At 42.5% G+C, this 19,430-nt stretch overlaps 1 protein-coding gene across 2 annotated transcripts in view, besides 2 other annotated features; it reads right to left on the bottom strand.

Annotated features, from left to right (window-relative positions):
• MAP2K6 (mitogen-activated protein kinase kinase 6) overlaps positions 1-19,430 on the bottom strand; it is a 139,169-nt gene that overhangs the window by 95,670 nt on the left and 24,069 nt on the right. The gene's annotated exons all lie outside the window — the stretch shown is intronic.
• Positions 8,595-9,576: an enhancer, noted in NCBI's record as "OCT4-NANOG-H3K27ac-H3K4me1 hESC enhancer chr17:67444761-67445742 (GRCh37/hg19 assembly coordinates)". NCBI's record gives its function as "activates a minimal SCP1, AML or CMV promoter by ChIP-STARR-seq in naive and primed H9 embryonic stem cells {active_cell/tissue: H9 hESC(naive and primed)}" and the evidence as "EXISTENCE:reporter gene assay evidence [ECO:0000049][PMID:30033119]".
• Positions 9,577-10,557: an enhancer, noted in NCBI's record as "OCT4-NANOG-H3K27ac-H3K4me1 hESC enhancer chr17:67443780-67444760 (GRCh37/hg19 assembly coordinates)". NCBI's record gives its function as "activates a minimal SCP1, AML or CMV promoter by ChIP-STARR-seq in primed H9 embryonic stem cells {active_cell/tissue: H9 hESC(primed)}" and the evidence as "EXISTENCE:reporter gene assay evidence [ECO:0000049][PMID:30033119]".

Below are 19,430 nucleotides of genomic sequence, written 5' to 3'. Positions count from 1 at the left end.
TGTAGCCCCAGCTACTTGGGAGGCTCAGGCACGAGGATCACTGGAACCCAGAAGGCGGAGGTTGCAGTGAGCCTAGATGGCACCATTGCACTCCAGCCTGGGCGACAGAGCAAGATTCTGCCTCCAAGAAAAAAATGAAAGAAAGAAGGAGGGACAGAAGGAAGGAAGGAAGAAAGGCAGTTGCAATTTTGTTAGGACTCCCTTAATTCTAAGGTATTGTGTTATAGGTAGTAATGGGCCATAATTTGAGACCAGCCTAGAGCAGTGCTTCCCGAACTTTAATGTGCACAGGAATCTTCTGCAGACATTGCTAGAAGACAGATCCTGATGCAGCAGCTCTGGGGTGAGATTGGAGATCCTGCCTCTTTTGTTTTGTTTTGGTTTTGGTTTTGTTTTGAGACAGCATCTCACTCTGTTACCCAGGCTGGAGTAGTGTGATCATAGCTCACCACAGCCTCTATCTCCTGGGCTCAAGCAATCCTCCAGCCTCAGCCTCCTGAATAGCTGAGATTCCAGGCACAGGCCACCGTGCCCAGCTAATTTTTGTTTGTTTGTTTGTTTGTTTTTAGCTCAAGTGATCCTCCTGCCTCGGCCTCCCAGAGAACTGGGATTACAGGTGTGAGCCACTGCACCCAGCTGCAAGCCTGCATTTCTAACAAGCTCCCTGATGTTGCCAGGCTGCTGGTCTGCAAGTCCAGGGACCATACTTGGAGTAGCAAGCCCCCAGGGAAGGACAGACTTTAATAAGAAGAGGATCCCCTATGAAAATTCCAACTTGAGCTCCTATGTTCATTCAGACATTCATACAAATACCAACTGTGGGCCAAACACTGAAGATTTCCAGGTAAATACCACTCAACCTAGGGGATAAACGTGTCCACAGGCATCAGATAAGACAGGGAAAATAGTGTAATGGTGCTGGCGTGGGAGTCCTTCCTCAAATGCTTCCTGTTAATGCACAAAGGTAATTAGAAGGACTAGCAGGGGCCATGCTTTGATCTGCTAAATCCCAAGCTGCATCCTTCAACAGAAGAAACCACCATTGTAGAGAGATGCTGAAGTCTCTCTGGGGTAGGAACTCTTGCTGAGGAGGTCTCACAGAGAAGACATTTGATTTAGATCAGAGAGGATGGTTCCACAAGGAAAAGGAGATGTTCTAGAAGGGAACAGCATATGCAAAAACGTGGGTTGTGAGAGGATTCCGTATGCACGGCCGTGAAGCAGTAGGTCAGGTAGGGCGTCCAAGCTAAGAAGCTGGCATTTATCAGTCAAATGGAAGTGTCCAAAGGAAGCAGCAGGGACAACTTTAAAACGGAAGCGTGGGGACAGATGTGTTGTAGGAAGATAGTCAGCAGCAGTGCAGGGCAGGGATTTGTAGAGTGATGAAAAACATCTCTAGATAAGGGCAGGTGGGGTAAGAGTACTCATGAAATGGTCAATACCCACAAGAAAGCAATTAACTAGGATGAAGGAGGAAGGCTAGGTGGGGAGACATCTCTGGGTAGAAATAACAGGGTTTAGTGGTGACAGACCAGTGGGGAAAAATCACTTAGGGCAGACATCACCAGATGCCTAGACCCCACTGAGAAAACAATTGATCCAGTCAAGCAAATCTCTGTACACAACAACACCTCACCCTCCAATTACCATCCACCTTATGAACGTCACAGTTGGGTAGCTCTGAGTAGACCAAACTCTAATGAGTTTCAATATCTGATAATTACAATGGAGAAGGGTAATTCAAGCCAATCTCTAGAATCAATGATTTCCTGAAGTTCTAAAGACATAAAATTGCCTTACTTTAAAATAAGACTCAATACAAACCCCAGGCCATCCCTAACCAAGTTTCTTCTCTGTAATGGAACAGAAGAGACATCTCAAGACACAGGTGTTATTTTCCGCCAAAGAGGCCCGAAGCATAGGCACTCACCGCTCCAGACCAGCCACAGCCAGGTTCCTAGAAGGTCCACTAAACAGGATGATCAACTACACCCAGTTTGCTCTGGATGTTTCTGGGTTTAAAACTGAAAGGCCAGGACAGGAGCTGTGGCTCACGCCTGTAATCCCAGCACTTTGGGAGGCCGATGCGGGCGGATCTACTGAGGTCAGGAGTTCGAGACCAGCCTGGCCAACATGGTGAAACCACATCTCTATTAAAAATACAAAAATTAGCCAGGTGTTGTGGCACGCGCCTGTAATCCCAGCTACTCGAGAGGCTGAGGCAGGAGAATTGCTTGAACCCGGGAGGTGGAGTTTGCAGTGAGCCAAGATCGCGCCATTGCACTCCAGCCTGGGCAACGAGAGCAAAACTCTGTCTTAAAAAAAAAAAAAAAAAAAAAAAAAACTGAAAGTCCAGGAACCCACTCAGTCCCAGGCATATCTGCAGGGTTGGTCATGCTATAACTAAACAAATCAGTTTTTAGAACTTAAGCTCCAAAAAATGATTTTTGCATTTTTACAGGGTTAAGGGCGGAGGGAAAAAGAACAAACAAGAATATGCAGAGACCATATGTGGCCCACAACACCTCAAATACTCACCATCTCACTGTTTGTAGAAAAAGTTTGCTAATCCCTAGTTTACACCAACCATAATGCCCCGCCTTTGACAGGACAGGTTTGAGAATGAAAAAGTGACACAGCTTTGGGCTCCAGGTTCGAAACCTAAGAGAAAGTCGGCTGGGAGCTCCTGAAAAGATTTCCTTCCTGATTAAAAATAATGAGACTCAGGGGAGAAATACTGTCCTCTCTTCCTGCCTTTCGAGGTTGTCATATTACATCATGATATTTAGAGCTACAGTAGCCCTCCTGTGACCAGAAAGAAAAAGTCAGGTAATCAGGAATTGCAGGGATACCATCCCTCACCAGGGCATGGCTAAACTACTGAATTAATCAGCCCTGGAACAGTATAAATCCAGTTATCTTCATAAAGGGTGTAATAAATCCCTATTGTTGCAACCACTTTTGTTGGGTGTTTGTTTACATGCAGTGGACAGAATCCTAATCTCTTTCCATTATCCCTCACTAAATGAAGCAACTCTCATATCTCCAATATAATGGAGCTTGGGAAGTTGCAATAGGCATTAAAAATAGTTTGCTCCTAGCTGGAAAATTCTTCAGAACATTGTACCCTTACCTCCCCTCCACCAAAAAAAAAAAAAAATAATAATAGTAAGAATGACTCTCCAACTCTTGCTTAGGAAAGAAAGCACTAAGTCTTTGAAATTTAGCCTATTAAATGCTTGAGCAATTCAGTGTCATAAGATTAGACCTTCTATTTGTAAAACGAAAAGAACGATGTTTGTAAGCAAAATGCCATAAGATCCCTTTAAAATGTTCCTACCTGCAAAATATTATTATACCCATATCTATATCTTCAAATGAATTTCCACATATTTTTATCAAATAGTCCTTGAATTTACCTTTTGAATTGTCCTATGTTGCCTTAATAACAAAAATTACCTTTAGCTTAGTCAAATAGGTTATCTCTAAGAAATATCATCAGTTAGGCTGGGCATGGTAGCCCACACCTGTAATCCCAGCAGTTTTGGAGGCAGAGGCGGGTGGATCATGAGGTCAGGGGTTCAAGACCAGCCTGGTCAACATAGCGAAACCCCATCTCTACTAAAAAAAAAAAAATACAAAAATTAGCCGGGCATGGTGATGCGTGCCTGTAGTCCCAGCTACTCAGGAGGCTGAGGCAGGAGCATCACTTGAACCTGGGAGGTGGAGGTTGCAGTGAGCCCAGATTGTACTACTGCACTCCAGCCTGGGCAACAGAGCAAGACTTGGTCTCAGAAAAAGAAAGAAAGAAATATCATCATTTATGTATGCACCCATGATAATGTTAGAAGGCTATGCCCTCCGGACACAGTGAGAACATCTGCCCTGATCATTTTCTCTGGTAAGACTGGCTTCTAGGAGTAATGGCTTAATCACTGGAACCTGGAAGCTTTCACAAAGCTCAAAGGCTGTCACCACACTCACTGATGGAGGAAGCGCTTCTGGCTAGAAATATAGACATCAGTCAAATCCCAATAGCTTCCTGATATTTCTTTTATTGCTCCTACCAAACCACAACAAAGAGTTTTTGACCGTGTCACTAGGAAATACGTTTTTCTGAAAATAGCCTTTAAAATCTGAAAACTCCTATGTTTGTGGCTATAACTGGAGGGCCATAAAGGTTACCTACATGGGTAAATTTCCTTCTTTATTCCAGCATCTAAAGCAAATGTTCAGGACTTTTCTTTCTTCTTTAAATCCAAGGACGTGATTCTCAGCCTTGGCTGCACATTGGAATCCCCCGGGAAGCTTTAAAATATAATGATGCCTGGGCTATCCCTGGAGTTCTGATTAATTGTTCCAAACTCAGCCTGGGCATTGAGATGTCTAAAAGTTTCCCAGGTAATTGTAATTTACACCCAAGGTGAATGGCAAGTAGAAGAAAATGTAACTAAGAACTATACCCAAGACAAAAATTGCTAAATTGCATTTACAAAGGGCTAAAAGAGAGGACTAGAAAAGGTTTCTCCTACTATTCAAGACTTCCAAAAAAGAATAGAAAATTATCAATCAATAAGCAATTCAAATATATATGCATACATATGCATTCTAAATTACTTAAAAGGAGAGAGGTGAGCAGGAGAAAGAGGCCAAAATAAAGGAAAGAAAATGAATGTGTTTGACCCCCTTAATCATCAGTCTTACAGTCGAACCTACATCTCCATGTCCACACCTTCCTTTAAGTGCAGCAAAATCATTTTTTCAAGTACACCTAACAGCAAGCTACTGCCCAAGGGCCAAATCTGGCCCACCACCTCTTTTGGTAAATAAAGTTTTATTGGAATGCAGCACTTGGATTCATTTGCCTGTCATCTGCCTGCCTTCACAGCAGCAGAGTTGCCACAGAGACTGTATGGCCTGCAAAATTTTAAATATTTACTATGTGGCCTTTCACAGAAAAAGTTTTCAGACCACTGCTCTAGTTCTATCACGTAGTTTGTCATACCAGGAATTAATGCATCTCCCTTTTATTCTCCTCCCACTAGTGCCTATCCCAGAAATCTGCACTCCTGTTCCTGCCAAACTCCTGCTCTGCGTCATCAGGTAATTCCCAGCAAAAGGCAAAGTGTCTCCATGAGTCACTTCGTCCCAACGCTTAAATGGTGTTGGCTTCTTAGCTATGACAGGGACATCACAGAGCACCTGGTTGAGGCTGTCACTCTATGCAATAACCAGCTTTCGGCCAAATGAAAGACAGCACCAAAGTCATCACCAACTGACTATAATTGAATATGCCAATGTTAAGACGCAAACAAAGACATTTTATATTATGCTTTGGTACGACCTAAATCCTTATCGCCCTAATCAACTTCTGCTTTTGCCTAATTAAATTTAATTGTCATCATCTGCTTTGCTACTTTGCTAAAACCTAAACAATCCATTTTAAAATTATCCCCATAGTTCTACTATTTCTTTGCAAAATTTTTACTATGGTAGCAAAAAACAGAGGCTATTGTAAGAGCCCCTCATCTGTCTTATTATTTGCTTGCTTTCACCTACACCTATCTCTGTGTTTTTAAACAGAAATGAAACTCCACTTTAATCTTCTGGAAGGAAGACAGTGGGAAAGACATGTGAATCTACTGTTATCTAGATTTCTTGAAATTTTCCTATGAGGCAGGTAGGGCTTTAAAAACAATGTGATACGCATTTGCTTACAAGATGAAAGGTCTCTTCTCTATCCACCTGTAAATTATTATCTTCCCTTTAGCTATCTGGTAATGAATTGTGGATTCAATACTCAGACATCCAAGGCAGGAACAGAGAAGGTAGGCATCTTATACTTCCTTTCCCTTACTCCTAATATCATTAGGGCAGAATGTGTCAAATTCAGTACTACTGACATTTTGAGCTTGCCCATTCTTATTGTGGGGATGGTCCTGGGCAGTATCAAATACTCAGCAGCATCCCCGGCCTGTACACACTAGATGCCAGTAACACCCTCCCCCTACCCCAGTTATGAAAACCTAAACTGCTTCCAGATGTTGTAAATGTACCCTAGGGGTAACCTCCCACCCTCCGTTGAGAAGCACTGCGTTAGGGGAACTTGTCCATAGACTCTACCTACACTCTTGTTGCCGCATTCCTACTGCCTCCATCCCCACCGCTGCTACTTTAGCTCAGGCCTTCATCATCTTCAACATGGACTATTACAGTACACTCCCAACAGCCTCCTTGCCACCCACCTCCAGGGATCTCATACATTCTCCAGACTGCCAGCGGTGTGCAGTGCATGCTGGAGTGCACCACCAGAATCACCTTCAGCCTGAGGCACTCTCTCCTCTAGTTGCTGAGCCTTCTCCAGGAACTGCCCTCAGGGAAAGAGAACCACTTCACTATGGTTATGTGCCCCTCTGCAGGGGCAGCCTGTATCCAGTCATGCTCAGCACAGGGGTATAAAGGCCTGACCTCTCTGCCTCTCTGGATAGGGCCACTCCACCTCCAAAGCTTCCCTGTGGGACCAGGTGAATCTGTTACAGCTGGTTCCTCATTCAACTCCTCCTTTGCCCAAACCTGCTTTGTTAGCGTCCCCTCAAATGCTGGTCCCAAGAACACTCCCCAGTAAACTTCCTGTATGCAAATCTCCCCTCTTGGGTCTCTTTCCTGAAGGGCAAGACCAAAAACAGAGAGCTGTCTTTCTAGATTACAAACCTGACCATGTTTCTTCCCTGCCAACCTTTCCACATTCACTTCTCATCGCCTGCACTGAAGAGTCCTAAAATAATTTTTAGAGTCGCATCAAGGGGTCACAATCAGTGATCTGCTGCGAAAGCAGCTCTTTGGTTTGTGGGGTGGGGAGAGAAGGCCCTAATGTGTAGCATTTGCTGATTTCCACGGTGCAAATATTTCCACCACTGTTGATCTCCAGCTACCACCGGCTTGCAACCGGCTTGCAAAATGACTGGCTATTTAATACCCAGTTCCCATAAGCCAGACACAAGCCAGCTTGAGCACACCACTGATAGCCCCTGACCATTCGCTATTGTTAACTCTAATTGTTTGCCTTCGCTTCAGCCATGACAAATTCTTGCAAATCTCAGACCTCCAGGATGCGCTGAGGTTCTGTGCCCTTATTCACGCTGTTTTCTCTGTCTAGAGTATGTTTCCTTTCCCTGTCTGACTCATGCAAACCTACTCAATGCTCTGGATCCAGCTCACATAAAATCTCTTCCATAAACATTTTCAGGATTCACCTCCACCCATCCCATTTCACTCAAAGGTGAAGCAGAACCCTCCTTTTTGTGTGTCTGCATGTGTCATAAATACTTTCTATCATAGTGCTCTTCTTATATTTTATTACATATTTCTGTTTACAAAACTCTACTGTCTAGACTGTAACTACTCTGAGGGCAGGGTCTTATTTATATTTTTAGTAACTGGCAAAAAGTATACTCATGAGATGTGTTTAATGAATAAACTAAAAAAAAAAAAAAATTGGCCCCACTTCCTAGCTCAACTTTATCATGAAGTACAAGTCTTAAAAATGTCTCAAGGAAAAGACATTCCGTTGCCCCAAATGTGAATCATAAGTTTGACCTCCCACGTCCTACTTCCAGATTGTTTCAGAGAGGCAAAGCATGGATGAAGGCTGGGACAGGGCATGACCTCTAAGGCTTCATCCCAAACCCAAGGGTCTCTGTATCAAGGAAAAAAGCACTTGTGGAAACAGGAGCAATTTTTGCTGGTCCAAGGGGAGGGTGCAGGTGCACCATCTGGTTACCTCCTGGCCAGGCAACTTGGAGACCAACCTTTTCGGATGCTACTGCCTCAGACTCAGAGTCAAGCCGAGTACTTTATTGTGATTCATTTTTAAATCAAACTACATGAATTCATGCAGTGCCTACTGCTTGTAAAATGCTGTATCTTTAAAATAAGAATAGAAAGGCCAGGTGTGGTGGCTTAGGCCTGCAATCCCAGCACTTTGGCAGGCCGAGGCAGGTGGATCACCTGAGGTCAGGAGTTCAAGACCAGCCTGGCCAACATGGTGAAACACCGTCTGTACTAAAATTATTAAAAAAAAAAAAAAAAAAAAAATTAGCCAGGTGTGGTAGTGCACACCTGTAGTCCCAGCTACTTGGAAGGCTGATGCAGGAGAATCACTTGAACCTGGGAGGCGGAGGTTGCAGTGAGCCAAGATCGCGCCACTGCACTCCAGCCTGGGTGACAGAGTGAGACTCCATCTTGAAAGAAAGATAAAGAAAGAAAGAGAGAAAGAGAGAAAGAGGCCGGGCGCGGTGGCTCACGCCTGTAATCCCAGCACTTTGGGAAGCCGAGGCGGGCGGATCACGAGGTCAGGAGATCGAGACCATCCTGGCTAACATGGTGAAACCCCGTCTCTACTAAAAATACAAAAAATTAGCCGGGCGAGGTGGCGGGCGCCTGTAGTCCCAGCTACTCAGGAGGCTGAGGCAGGAGAATGGCGTGAACCCCAGGGGGCGGAGCCTGCAGTGAGCCGAGATCGCGCCACTGCACTCTAGCCTGGGCGACAGCGAGACTCCGTCTCAAAAAAAAAAAAAAAAAAAAAAAGAGAGAGAAAGAAAGAAAAAGAAAGAAAGAAAGAAAGAAAGAAAGAAATAAAGAAAGAAAGAAAGAAAGAAAGAAAGACAAAGAAAGAAAGACAAAGAAAGAAAGAAAAAAGAAAGAAAGGACAACCAACACCTCAGAGGACTCTGAGGAGTAATAATCATCCCTGCTTTTAACTCAAATATACCTCCCCACACAAAAAAACTTCTGCAAAACAAAGAAAAATAACAGTAAACTCTTCCACAGCACCTGCTTGCTGTATACCACTTCTTTTTTAAAGCCTTTACATATATTAACTATCTATGTATAGTTTATGTACTATATATTATATGTAACATTTATATGATGTATATTATATAGCATATAATACTAGTATTAACTCTATGTCCTGGATACCAGTATCATCCCCATTTTACAGATTAAAAAACAGAGATGTTAAGTAATTTGCCTAAGACTACACAGCTAGTAAGTGGAAGAGCAGGGATTTGAACCCAGGTAGCCTGGCTCCAAAATCCATGCCCTTCATAATGCTAAAAGAAAGAGAAAAACGCTCCTTTACAGCTTTTCTCCACTGTCATCGAAAGATCGGTAGTATCCCTTTCAAAGACTGTAACCCGGGAGTGCCGGCCTTTGCCCTTAACCTTGGCACGCCACACATGGCTGATCACCTGCAACAGCTACACCCAGCCAGCCCTACACCTACTAACACCTCCGTTGTCAAGGAAGCCTTTATTTTTAACAACTTCAGTGTGTGGAAATGCCATGAATCCCAAGGACAGAAGAAAAGAGAGGCGAAAAAGGAAAGGCAACTCCACCTCCGGCAATGAAGACAAATCCCTCTGAGCAATGCTGCAAAGCGCCAGGATGAGTTAAAGCAGCAGGAGGACATCCGGCCCCGCAAACAATCAGTTCACTGACCAGGGAGAAGGAGCCTTCTCATTACCTGGGGATGGCTAAAAGAGTGAGCCACAGGGGGTCAAGAGTGGAGATGTGGCTGAGAAAAAAAAAAGCAGAAAGAAAATACAATGGAGAATGAAAAGAGCCCTGGCCAGGGCCGGCTGCAACTGGGAGTGAGGCCAAGGCAGTGATGGGCAGACTCGGCAGCAAGCAGCAAGACAGCCATGGGGGAACCACAGACCTCCAGCTTCGGGCTGGGAACAGAAAGGTCCGCACCTTAGCAACCTTAACGGACTCTCCATGCACTGCAGACAAGCAAAATGACTGTGTTTCCTAAATAAAAAGTTAGACTACATTTAAGTGACAAGAAAAAAAAGACAGTGATTTTTTAGAAAGAGTCCAGTGAAAAACAGAGTCAAATTAGGCCTCTGCACTCAGAAAACTAAACTTGAATTTGAAAAAAAAAAAAAACAAAAACAAAACCATATTACAATATTTCCCTACAGGGCTAGATAATTGAGCCATTGCTAGTGGGGTAAGGGGTCCTGGGGATATACATTAGAAACAACAAGACAAATTAGGGAAACGCTGTAACAATATTTAGGTGAGTCTGTCAGGGTTTATTGATAGAAGAGGCATTTAAAGATGCCTCCCTGTTTCAGTCCCAGGCTAACGGGCTGACTTCCCTTCATCTCTACCCCAAGAACGGCTCAGTCCTCTTTCTGCTGTATTCCAGATGCAGCCTCTCAATTTCGGGTTGAAACAGCCCTGTTTGCCAACTGACCTCAACAGTCTGGCAGTTCTGCACTCCCCTGGACTCAGCCCAGTCTCTCCTTCAGCAAGTCTCCCCAGCACAGGCTCCCCGCTAGGAATAAGCGTCCCTCAGCTCCTGCTCACTCCTAGTACACCTTCATTAACTGTCTCTTCCCTGGCCCACTAATGCTCACCCTTCTGAATGCCCCAATGGCCCAAACTAAGCCATTGCTCTATTTCTTTCTTTCTTCATCTCCTTCCTCCTCCAATGCCTTTTACTCAACTGCCTTCCATGCAATCATCAAATTCCAATTCCTAGCCGGGCATGGTGGCTCACGCCTGTAATCCCAGCACTTTGGGAGGCCAAGATGGGCACATCACTTGAGGTCAGGAGTTCAAGACCAGCCTGGTCAACATGGTAAAACCCCGTCTCCACTAAAAATACAAAAATTAGCGAGGCATGGTGGCGGGTGCCTGTAATTCCAGCTACTCGGGAGGCTGAGGCTGGAGAATCACTTGAACCTCGGAGGCAGAGGTTGCAGTAAACCAAGATCATGCCACTGCACTCCAATCTGGGCGACAGAGCAAGACTCCATCTCAAAAATATAAAAATGACATTAAAAAAATCCAATTCCCAAACCTACTTCTACATGAAACTGTTTTGTATGTAAGAAACAAAGGTTAGGCTGGGCGTGGTGGCTCACACCTGTAATTCCAACACTTTGGGAGGCCGAGGCGGGTGGACCACCTGAGGTCAGGAGTTCGAAACCAGCCTGGCCAACATAGTGAAACCCCGTCTCTATTAAAAATACAAAAAATTAGCCAGGCGTGGTGACGCATGCCTGTAATCCCAGCTACTAGGGAGGCTGAGGCAGGAGAATTGCTTGAACCTGGGAGGCGGAGGTTGCAGTGTGCTGAGATCATGCCATTGTACTCCAGCCTGGGCAACAAGAGTGAAACTCCGTCTCAAAAAAAAAAAAAAAAAAGAAACAGAGGTTATAATAAAATACAAAGTTATATAAATCATCCACAACATCAAGTGGTCCAATGAATGACCACTTCAGATAATTGCATAATTCAATACCTTTAAAAAAAAAAAAAACCTTATTCTTAAGTCTAGCAATTGTGTTTTCCAGTACCCATTCTGCAATAAGCTCAAAGCACAGCAATTGTAAAAGGGTGGAGGAGGCGTTCGTGCATGTACTTTGGCGTCTGTGGGGGGTACTCAAATGATACCCAAAAGGCAGGGTAAGCAGAAGCAATGAGACTGAGTGGCTCTAGAGTGCCCCTGATCGAAGTTGGCATCCCGACTCTGCAATTAACTACTTCTGTGACTTCAGAGAAAATTACTTAACCTCCCTGAACTTTGGTTTCCTCACCTGTGAAAGGAAGAAACAACACATACCTAATAGGTTAGTAGTGAAGGAGCAATGAGCTGATACACATGAGAGCTCTGGAATACAGTAAATATCTATCAACATTGGTGGAGAAACTGAGGTACAGAAAATGGCTTAGCTCAGCCAGTCCTACTTCTGATTTAGCCTGAGTAACATGATTCTTAATCCAGCAATTCAATCTCTTAACATTTAGTATAGCTTAGGCTTTCTGTGTGTCACTCAAAAAGCTTGTTGACTAATGTAAATCCAGGCTGTATCCTTGTATTGTGTTCCCATTCCCTAGCAGAATGCTAGAGTTCTGTTGCTTAATGGAAAACTGTCAATTATTGGCTTGATTCTTGATATTCTTAGGCCAAATGATAGATCCACCCTCCCCCATCCTGGTGTCTATTAATCACCAGAAGAGACTACAGCAATAAAAGTAAATATAACGCTAAGGTAGCAGCTGGTAAAACAACATGCTGCATACCCAAAATACCTTTATTGCAGGGTAAAAAATAAGCACTTCTTTTCTTGCTTAAAACCCTTAACTCCTTAGGTGTATGTGTACCCATTTGATTTCTTATGCAGTGTTCAATACATATTTTAATAAATTGAAGTAAATTGGAACTAAACCTAAGATTGATGCATTTGAAACTGAAGCTGATAGTATAAATATCTCAAAATAAGAAAAAGAGACCTGCACAAGCTTTACTTTTCCAAGCCAGATTAGAGAAATGCACCATATCTCTCATCTAAATAACTATTAATGAGAAATAAAGGTAGTGTGTATGTCCTGTCAACCCAATTATTACACATAAATCAGGAGCTCTTTTAGTATTCTTAATGACGCAGGCTTTAGAAACAATTCATTGTTACCCAAAGAGAATTCTTATAGGGAAATACTCATGGTTCAGTGAGAAGAATATTTAAAAAAAAAATGGAGAGATTCGGTCCTAGCCTTGGGTTCACCAACTGGTAGTCATGTAAGCCCAAAACACGTTACTTCCTTTAAATATGCAGAAGTTTTCCCATCTACAAAACAAGAAAAATATGTATTCTTCTTTGTTAACTTTTTAATATGAACCAAACAACATTTATCCATGATTTGATCTTTGATTTCTGAAAATTGTTCACAAATCAAGGCAGGGCTGTCCACATTTACAATTTCACTTTTGTTAAATGAACCAGAATTAGCTTACTGACAGACAGACTTAGCTAAGGCTGAGCCAGCCCTTTTGCTTTTGAGGTCAGGAAGTAATCTAAGACCCAAGAGTTTTCTCTCCACTGCTTAACTTCCCTGAGTCAAGTTTCCTTCCTCTACCTCGGAGTTGGTAAAATTTCTTTCTGATGAAAATGTACTTTGGGGCTGGTGTGGTGGCTTATGCCTGTAATCTCAGCACTTTGGGAGGCCGAGGTGGGCAGATCACCTGAGGTCAGGAGTTTGAGACCAGCCTGGCCACCACGGTGAAACCCCATCTCTACTGAAAATACAAAAATTAGCCGGGCCTGGTGGTGCACACTTGTAATCTCAGCTACTTGGGAGGCTGAGGCAGGAGAATCTCTTGAACCCGGGTGGCAGAGGTTGCTGTGAGCCAAAATCGTGCCACCGCACTCCAGCCTGGGCAACAAGAGTGAGTCTTCATCTCAAAAAATAAAAATAAAAATAAAAGAAAATGTGCTTTGGATTTCCAGTAAGTCTCCAGTAAATGAAAGTTAGTGGCATGTATGCAACAGCCAACTTGGAGAGTTCAGTGGACGTTTGTCATGCATTTGCCATCTTCATTCCCTTTTATGTTTGGTGACTCTTCCACCTCTTGAGGCAGAGTCTGCTATCCCTTATAGAAGCTTAAAGTGCTGGATACTCATCTCCCAGCATTCATTGCAGCTAAAGTGTGGGCCCTGGGCAACCACTGAAACCTCAGAATCAGTCCCCAGTGATGCAGACATGGAGAGACTGCAAAGGATCCATTTTGGGACTTGACAATGATAGCAGCAGCTCCATCCGGTTGGGGAGGCTTTATTGGCAGCAGTTTGGTGAACTGGTGGTAGCTGTGTTATATTGCACCAGACCCCTTCCTTCGATATGTTTCGGGGCTTCACTCCAGCTGGATTGCTTCTGATTCTAGTTCTCTGGCCCTGTGGAGTGAGCTACACCAAATTCTTTTGATGGATTCTTTTTCTTGCCAAAATTGGTAAGAATTCGTTTCTTTTAACAAAAAACTCATTGACCCAGAAATCATCCTCAAGGCCAAGAAATCAACCAGGACCAGCAGAGTACCCTGCTCTATCCTAAAACCTCCCAGTGAGGTGCCACTAAACCTCCTGACTCCATTCAACCTTTCCATTCACAATATATATCACACAGTGAACCACAGGGATGAAAGGGGGGAATCCCAAAAGTAACCAAATTGTAGTTCAATGGTACAGAAAGACAAACCTAGGAGATTAGATCATCTAAAATATTTTAGGACCAACCCTACTCAGACCTTTTATATGGAAGCAGAATGGGATGTTAGAAGAAGAGCATGGACTTTTTAGTGAAATAATCTTTAAAAATCTAGTTTTGGTCATTCCCTTCATCATCTCTTGTCCTTCAATATCCTAAGGACAATACACCCAGACACATCCCAGTTGTAGCAACAAACTGATACCCCACACAGGACATGTTTATGCCTCCTTTGCTTTTCCCAGGCCTATCACTGTGACTAAAATGCATTCCTCTTTCTGGAGAACTCTTATCCTTCAAAATACAGCTCAACAACCCCTTCCTTTGTGAATCTTTCTTAATTCCACCTCTCCCCCTACCAACTTATCACTACTTTCTCTGCATTATCGGAATCTCTACTGTGGCCACTGTGCTTCCCTCGGTTTTGAGAGTGTCAGTCAACCCCTTTACCCTAAACCCCAGTGATGAGCTCCCAAGACAAGTGAAAGTCTTACTAGGGCAAGGATTAGGGTAAGACAAGTGTGGCACCTAGGGCACAAACTTCATGCAAGTACATAAAACTGGTCCTTACCCATCTTTCTTTCTTCAGTAACTACCTCAGAGAACTACTGTAGAATAACCGCTCAGATTTTTATCAACTGAATGGTCAATAATATAACAAAGTGTATAGGATTCAGAGAATATTTTATATGACGTAGAGAGGGCAGGGTCTAACACTACCACAAACAGGTCGGATAACCTTCCTGAAGCTTGTAACCTGGCCAAATGGGAAGAACTACACAGCCTCCATGGCGCCTTACACTGCCATGGTCTATTGCTTGGTTACTCCAAGTTCAAAGGAAGTTCACAGAGGAAGAGATCAGGACAGAAGGGAACAGCCACAGAAGACTCCAGCACTTGTGCTGAGGCCTGACAAATGCATGGATGGGATTTGAAGGGGAAGGAGGGGAAATGGACATTCTAAGAATAAACATAAGGTATGAGAGAGGTACAATAAATTCAAGGTAAATAAAGATAAGAGGCTGACTAGAGGAAAGAATGCATGTTTGGGTGTGAAAAACAAGCTGAATATAAACTGGATGGTCTGGGTGGGAAGAGACAATAAAACACCTTGGAAAATCAAGCAGGAAAATTCTGGGGTTTGGGACTGAGCAATAGGATGGAAAATACTGTTTTATATTAATAGAAGACCAAGAGCTATAATTATTGAATCTCTATTAGATGCCAGATATGTTTAGGTATTACATATAAATAAACTTATTGCATCCTTGAATCAAACCTCTGCAGTTGCTATTATCATCATCCCCACTTTACAGATGGGGAAACTGAGATTACTGAAGTTAAGTCAAGTATTCAAGGTTACACAGCTTACAATTGGCAGAACCAGATTTAACTTGTGCTTTTTGCCCTAAATACACACCTTAGGTAATGCATGTTGAAAGACAAAGGGACAAAGGGAACTAGGTTTGTCTTTCTGTACCATTGAACTGCAATTTAGTTACTTTTGGATTTCCCCCTTCCATCCCTGTGGTTCACTGTGTGATATATATTGTGAATGAAAAGAAAGAAACCAGATGATTTAATGTCCACAGGCTTATGAAAACAATGCTATTATGGACAGAGGTTGGGAAATTGAGAAGGAAACAAAATTGGGATAAAGAAAGCAAAACAACTGCATTTTTTTGTGATAGTTATCAAGTATGAAGTGGTGGCAGATGAAGTCAGAAGTGTCTTTCAAGGAGGGAGACCATCAGGATTAAGGATCCAAGGAGAGGCAAGATCTAGGGAGCAAGATCTGGAAGTTGCCATCATGAGAGGTAAAATCCAGAGGTCTGGAAACAGTGAAGTGCTCTTAGAGCAACAGCATACCTCAAGAGAAAAGCCACTCTGGGAAGCGTCCACATTTGGAAGGTAAAAGATGAAGAAGGAGTCGAGGTAACAGAAGGAATAATCAAACTAACAGGAAAGTAAGAATAGCACTGTGTTTATAAAAAGGTAACTAAATGGATTTTCAATAAGTACAGATAGCACAAATCAAAGAAAATGTCCAGAAGAAAGTTACTTCCTCTCCCCACAGGGAGAGTGTCAGATAAGACCTAGTAAAAAATCAAGACCTCTACCACTGTTCAGTGGTAGCAAAACCACCCTCTCTACAGCATCAGTGGAGGCCAGATGGGGAGTAGAAACCAAGTGCCTTTCTCCCTCCCAGCCAGAGAACTGTCAGTGGAGGCCTAGGAGGAAGCCTGAAGCACCCCCACCTATCAGTAACAGGGAGTCCCTTCTCTCCAGGTGCCAACAGAGGCCCCGTGGAGAATCTAGATGTCTACACCCACCTGGCAGTAAGGAGGCAGCACCCCCTTTCAGCCACCAGGTTAGTGTCAGAGGAGATCTTCTAAATCATAAGGTTTAGGTAAGAATCATAAGAATTAAGTAAGAATCGGATATCACAAAATGTCCAGATTTCAATCAAAAGTCACTTGTCATACCAAGAAATAGGAACATCTCAAACTGAATAAGAAAAACAATCAATATTGAAACGACACAGAAGTGAGAATTTCCTGACAAGAATTTTAAGGCAGCCATCAACGAGCATTTGAATATGCCTGAAACAAATGACAAGAGGACATCTCAGCAAAGAAATCGCATATACAAAGAAGAACCAAATGGAAAATTTAGAACTAGAAAAATACAACAACCAAAATTCAAAAACTCAATGGATGGTCTCAAGAGCAGAATGGAAGATACAAAGCAGAGAATCAATAAATTTGAAGACATAGCAATAGAAATTACCCAATTTGAAAAATAGAGAGAAAATAGACCTGAAAAAAAATCTTCAGGGACATATGAAACTATAACAACAGATATAACATTTGAAATCTCAAAAGAAGAAGAGAAAGAATTTGAGGCTGAAAAGTATTCAAAGACATACAATCTTCATTGGTTAATTGAGGGACTAAAAAACAAACAAACAAAAATACAGTCACACCCCACATCATGACATTTCTGTCCTACATACACAAGGGTGGCCCCATAAAAGTATAATGCCATATGTTTACTATACCTATAGTCACATAACACACGAATGTAATGGCTGACATTTGAGAAAGGTATATATTATCTGCACACACACATACACACACACACACATATATACACACTCACGCATGTGCCCCTATGGATTCATGCTGTGCAAACTCCAAATAGTTTAAACTCAAAGAAATTTAATGAAAACATATCATAGTAACCAGAAAACTAAAGAAAACAATCTTGAAAGTAGCCAGAAAGAAACAGTGCATTATGTATCAAGAGAAAATAAGTTGAGTAACAATAGATTTCTAATCAGAAACAATGGAGGCTAGAAGGATTCAGCACATTTTTCATGTGAAAAAAAAAAAACAAAACAAAACCTGTCAACCCAGAATTCTATATCCAGAGAAAATACCCTTCAGAAATGAAGGAAAAATCAAGAAATTTTCAGATGAAGAACAACTCTGAGAATTTTTCACCAGCAGATCTACTGTTTTTTTAAAAAAAATGGCTAAAAGAAGTTCTCTAAAGTGAAAAGAAATGATAAAAGAAGTCACAGGTGAGCTGTGAAAGCAATGTTAGTATTAAAGAGAAAGTAAGTATCACACTATGAGATGCAGAACAGAATGGGTGGTATTGAAAAGGAAGAAGCCAGAGGGGACCACTGTAAGTCACAAGAGGAGATGAGTTATATTGGGTGAGGCTGGGGTAGGGATAGGGAAGTAAGGCATACTGATTGGAAAGTACAGAGGGTTCAAGTCTAGGCCAGGCGTGGTGGCTTATGCTTTTAATCCCAGCATTTTGTGAGGCCAAGGCAGGCAGATCACCTAAGGTCAGGAGTTCCAGACCAGCCTGGCTAACACAGTGAAACCCTGTCTCTACTAAAAACACAAAAATTAGCCAGGTGTGGTGGTAGGTGCCTGTAATCTCAGCTACTCTGGAGGCTGAGGCAGTAGAATCACTTGAACCCAGGAGGTGGAAGTTGCAGTGAGCCGAGATCATGCCACTGCACTCCAGCATGGGTGACAGAGCAAGACTTCATCTCAAAAAAAAAGAAAGTACAGAGGGTTCAAGTCTCTATTCAGATTCTTTCCAACTATATGCCCTTGGATAATTTCTTACCCTTTCCAAGGCTTGGTTTCCCCCTTTTTAATGGTAATAATAGTAGCAACTTCGTAAAACTATTATGAAATTTAAATGAGACAACACTTATACAGTATTTAGCACAGTGTCTGGTGTGTGAATGTAATGGCTCAAGAAATGCTATTCCTATTCTTAGCAGCTAAAGTAGCTATTTTAGCTAGAAGACGAGCTGGCCTAAGGGAATGTTGTTCTCAGGAGGCAAACTTAATACCAAAAGAAATGATTAGAAAAAGAAGGGAAGAAATCAAGAGGGCATACACAGAAGAACAGGGTGGAGTGTGGTGTGGAGGAGATGGCTTTTGGTGCACAGAGAGCAAAGATAACATCAGACAAGAGAAGTAAAGTCCCTTTGATCAGAAAGACGTGTTCAAACTCTGGCACCACAACTTACTAATTGACACAACCTAGAAAAGCAATTTGACCTCCTCAACCTTCAACTCCCTCACCCCAGAAATGGAAATAATAAGCCTGACCTTACATTTATCATCTCTGAACCTTCTTCACAACTCTGTAGAATGCTAGAAATCTCAGGCATCTAATAAATGGTAATATTGTTATTTCTCAGAATAGAGGAAATCGAGAATTGATGAAAGGACACATACAGAGAGAGAGATGGGAAGTCAGCATATGGATGTATGACTGGAGATGAGGCATCTATTTTAGATAGACTCAATCTTTTTAAGAAAAGAGGCAAACTCAACTGTTGAGAATGAGAGAGGGCAGGGAGAGATGGAGACCTCATAGGAAAACAGAAGATGTAAGCAATTTTCTCTGCAATTCTCAGAACATTTAAGTTGAAAGGGACCTGAGGAATGACTTAATTCTTTCTCTGCCTCCATTTTATGAATGATAACCAGCAAATATGTTCTTTAAAGGGCCAGATAGTAAATATTTAGAGCTTTTGAACCAAAGAGTTTCTGTGCCAATAACTCAACTCTATCATTGCAGTACAAACACAGAGCTATGCAAGTAGGGCTGTGTTCCAATAAAACTTTATTTATAGACACTGAAACTTAAACTCCATGTAATTTTCAGGTTCATAAAATATTCTTTTGACTCGTGTAAAGCATTTTAAAATGTACCAGCTGGGCGCGGTGGCTCATGCCTGCAATCCCAGCACTTTGGGAGGCTAAGGTGGAAAGACCTCTTGAGCCGAGGAGTTCAATATCAGCCTGGGCAGCATAGTAAGACCCCATTTCTAC

This window comes from Homo sapiens, chromosome 17 (genome assembly GCF_000001405.40).
Source record: "Homo sapiens chromosome 17, GRCh38.p14 Primary Assembly".
In the NCBI taxonomy this organism is placed as follows: domain Eukaryota; kingdom Metazoa; phylum Chordata; class Mammalia; order Primates; family Hominidae; genus Homo; species Homo sapiens.
This window is presented reverse-complemented; position numbering and strand designations above follow the sequence as displayed.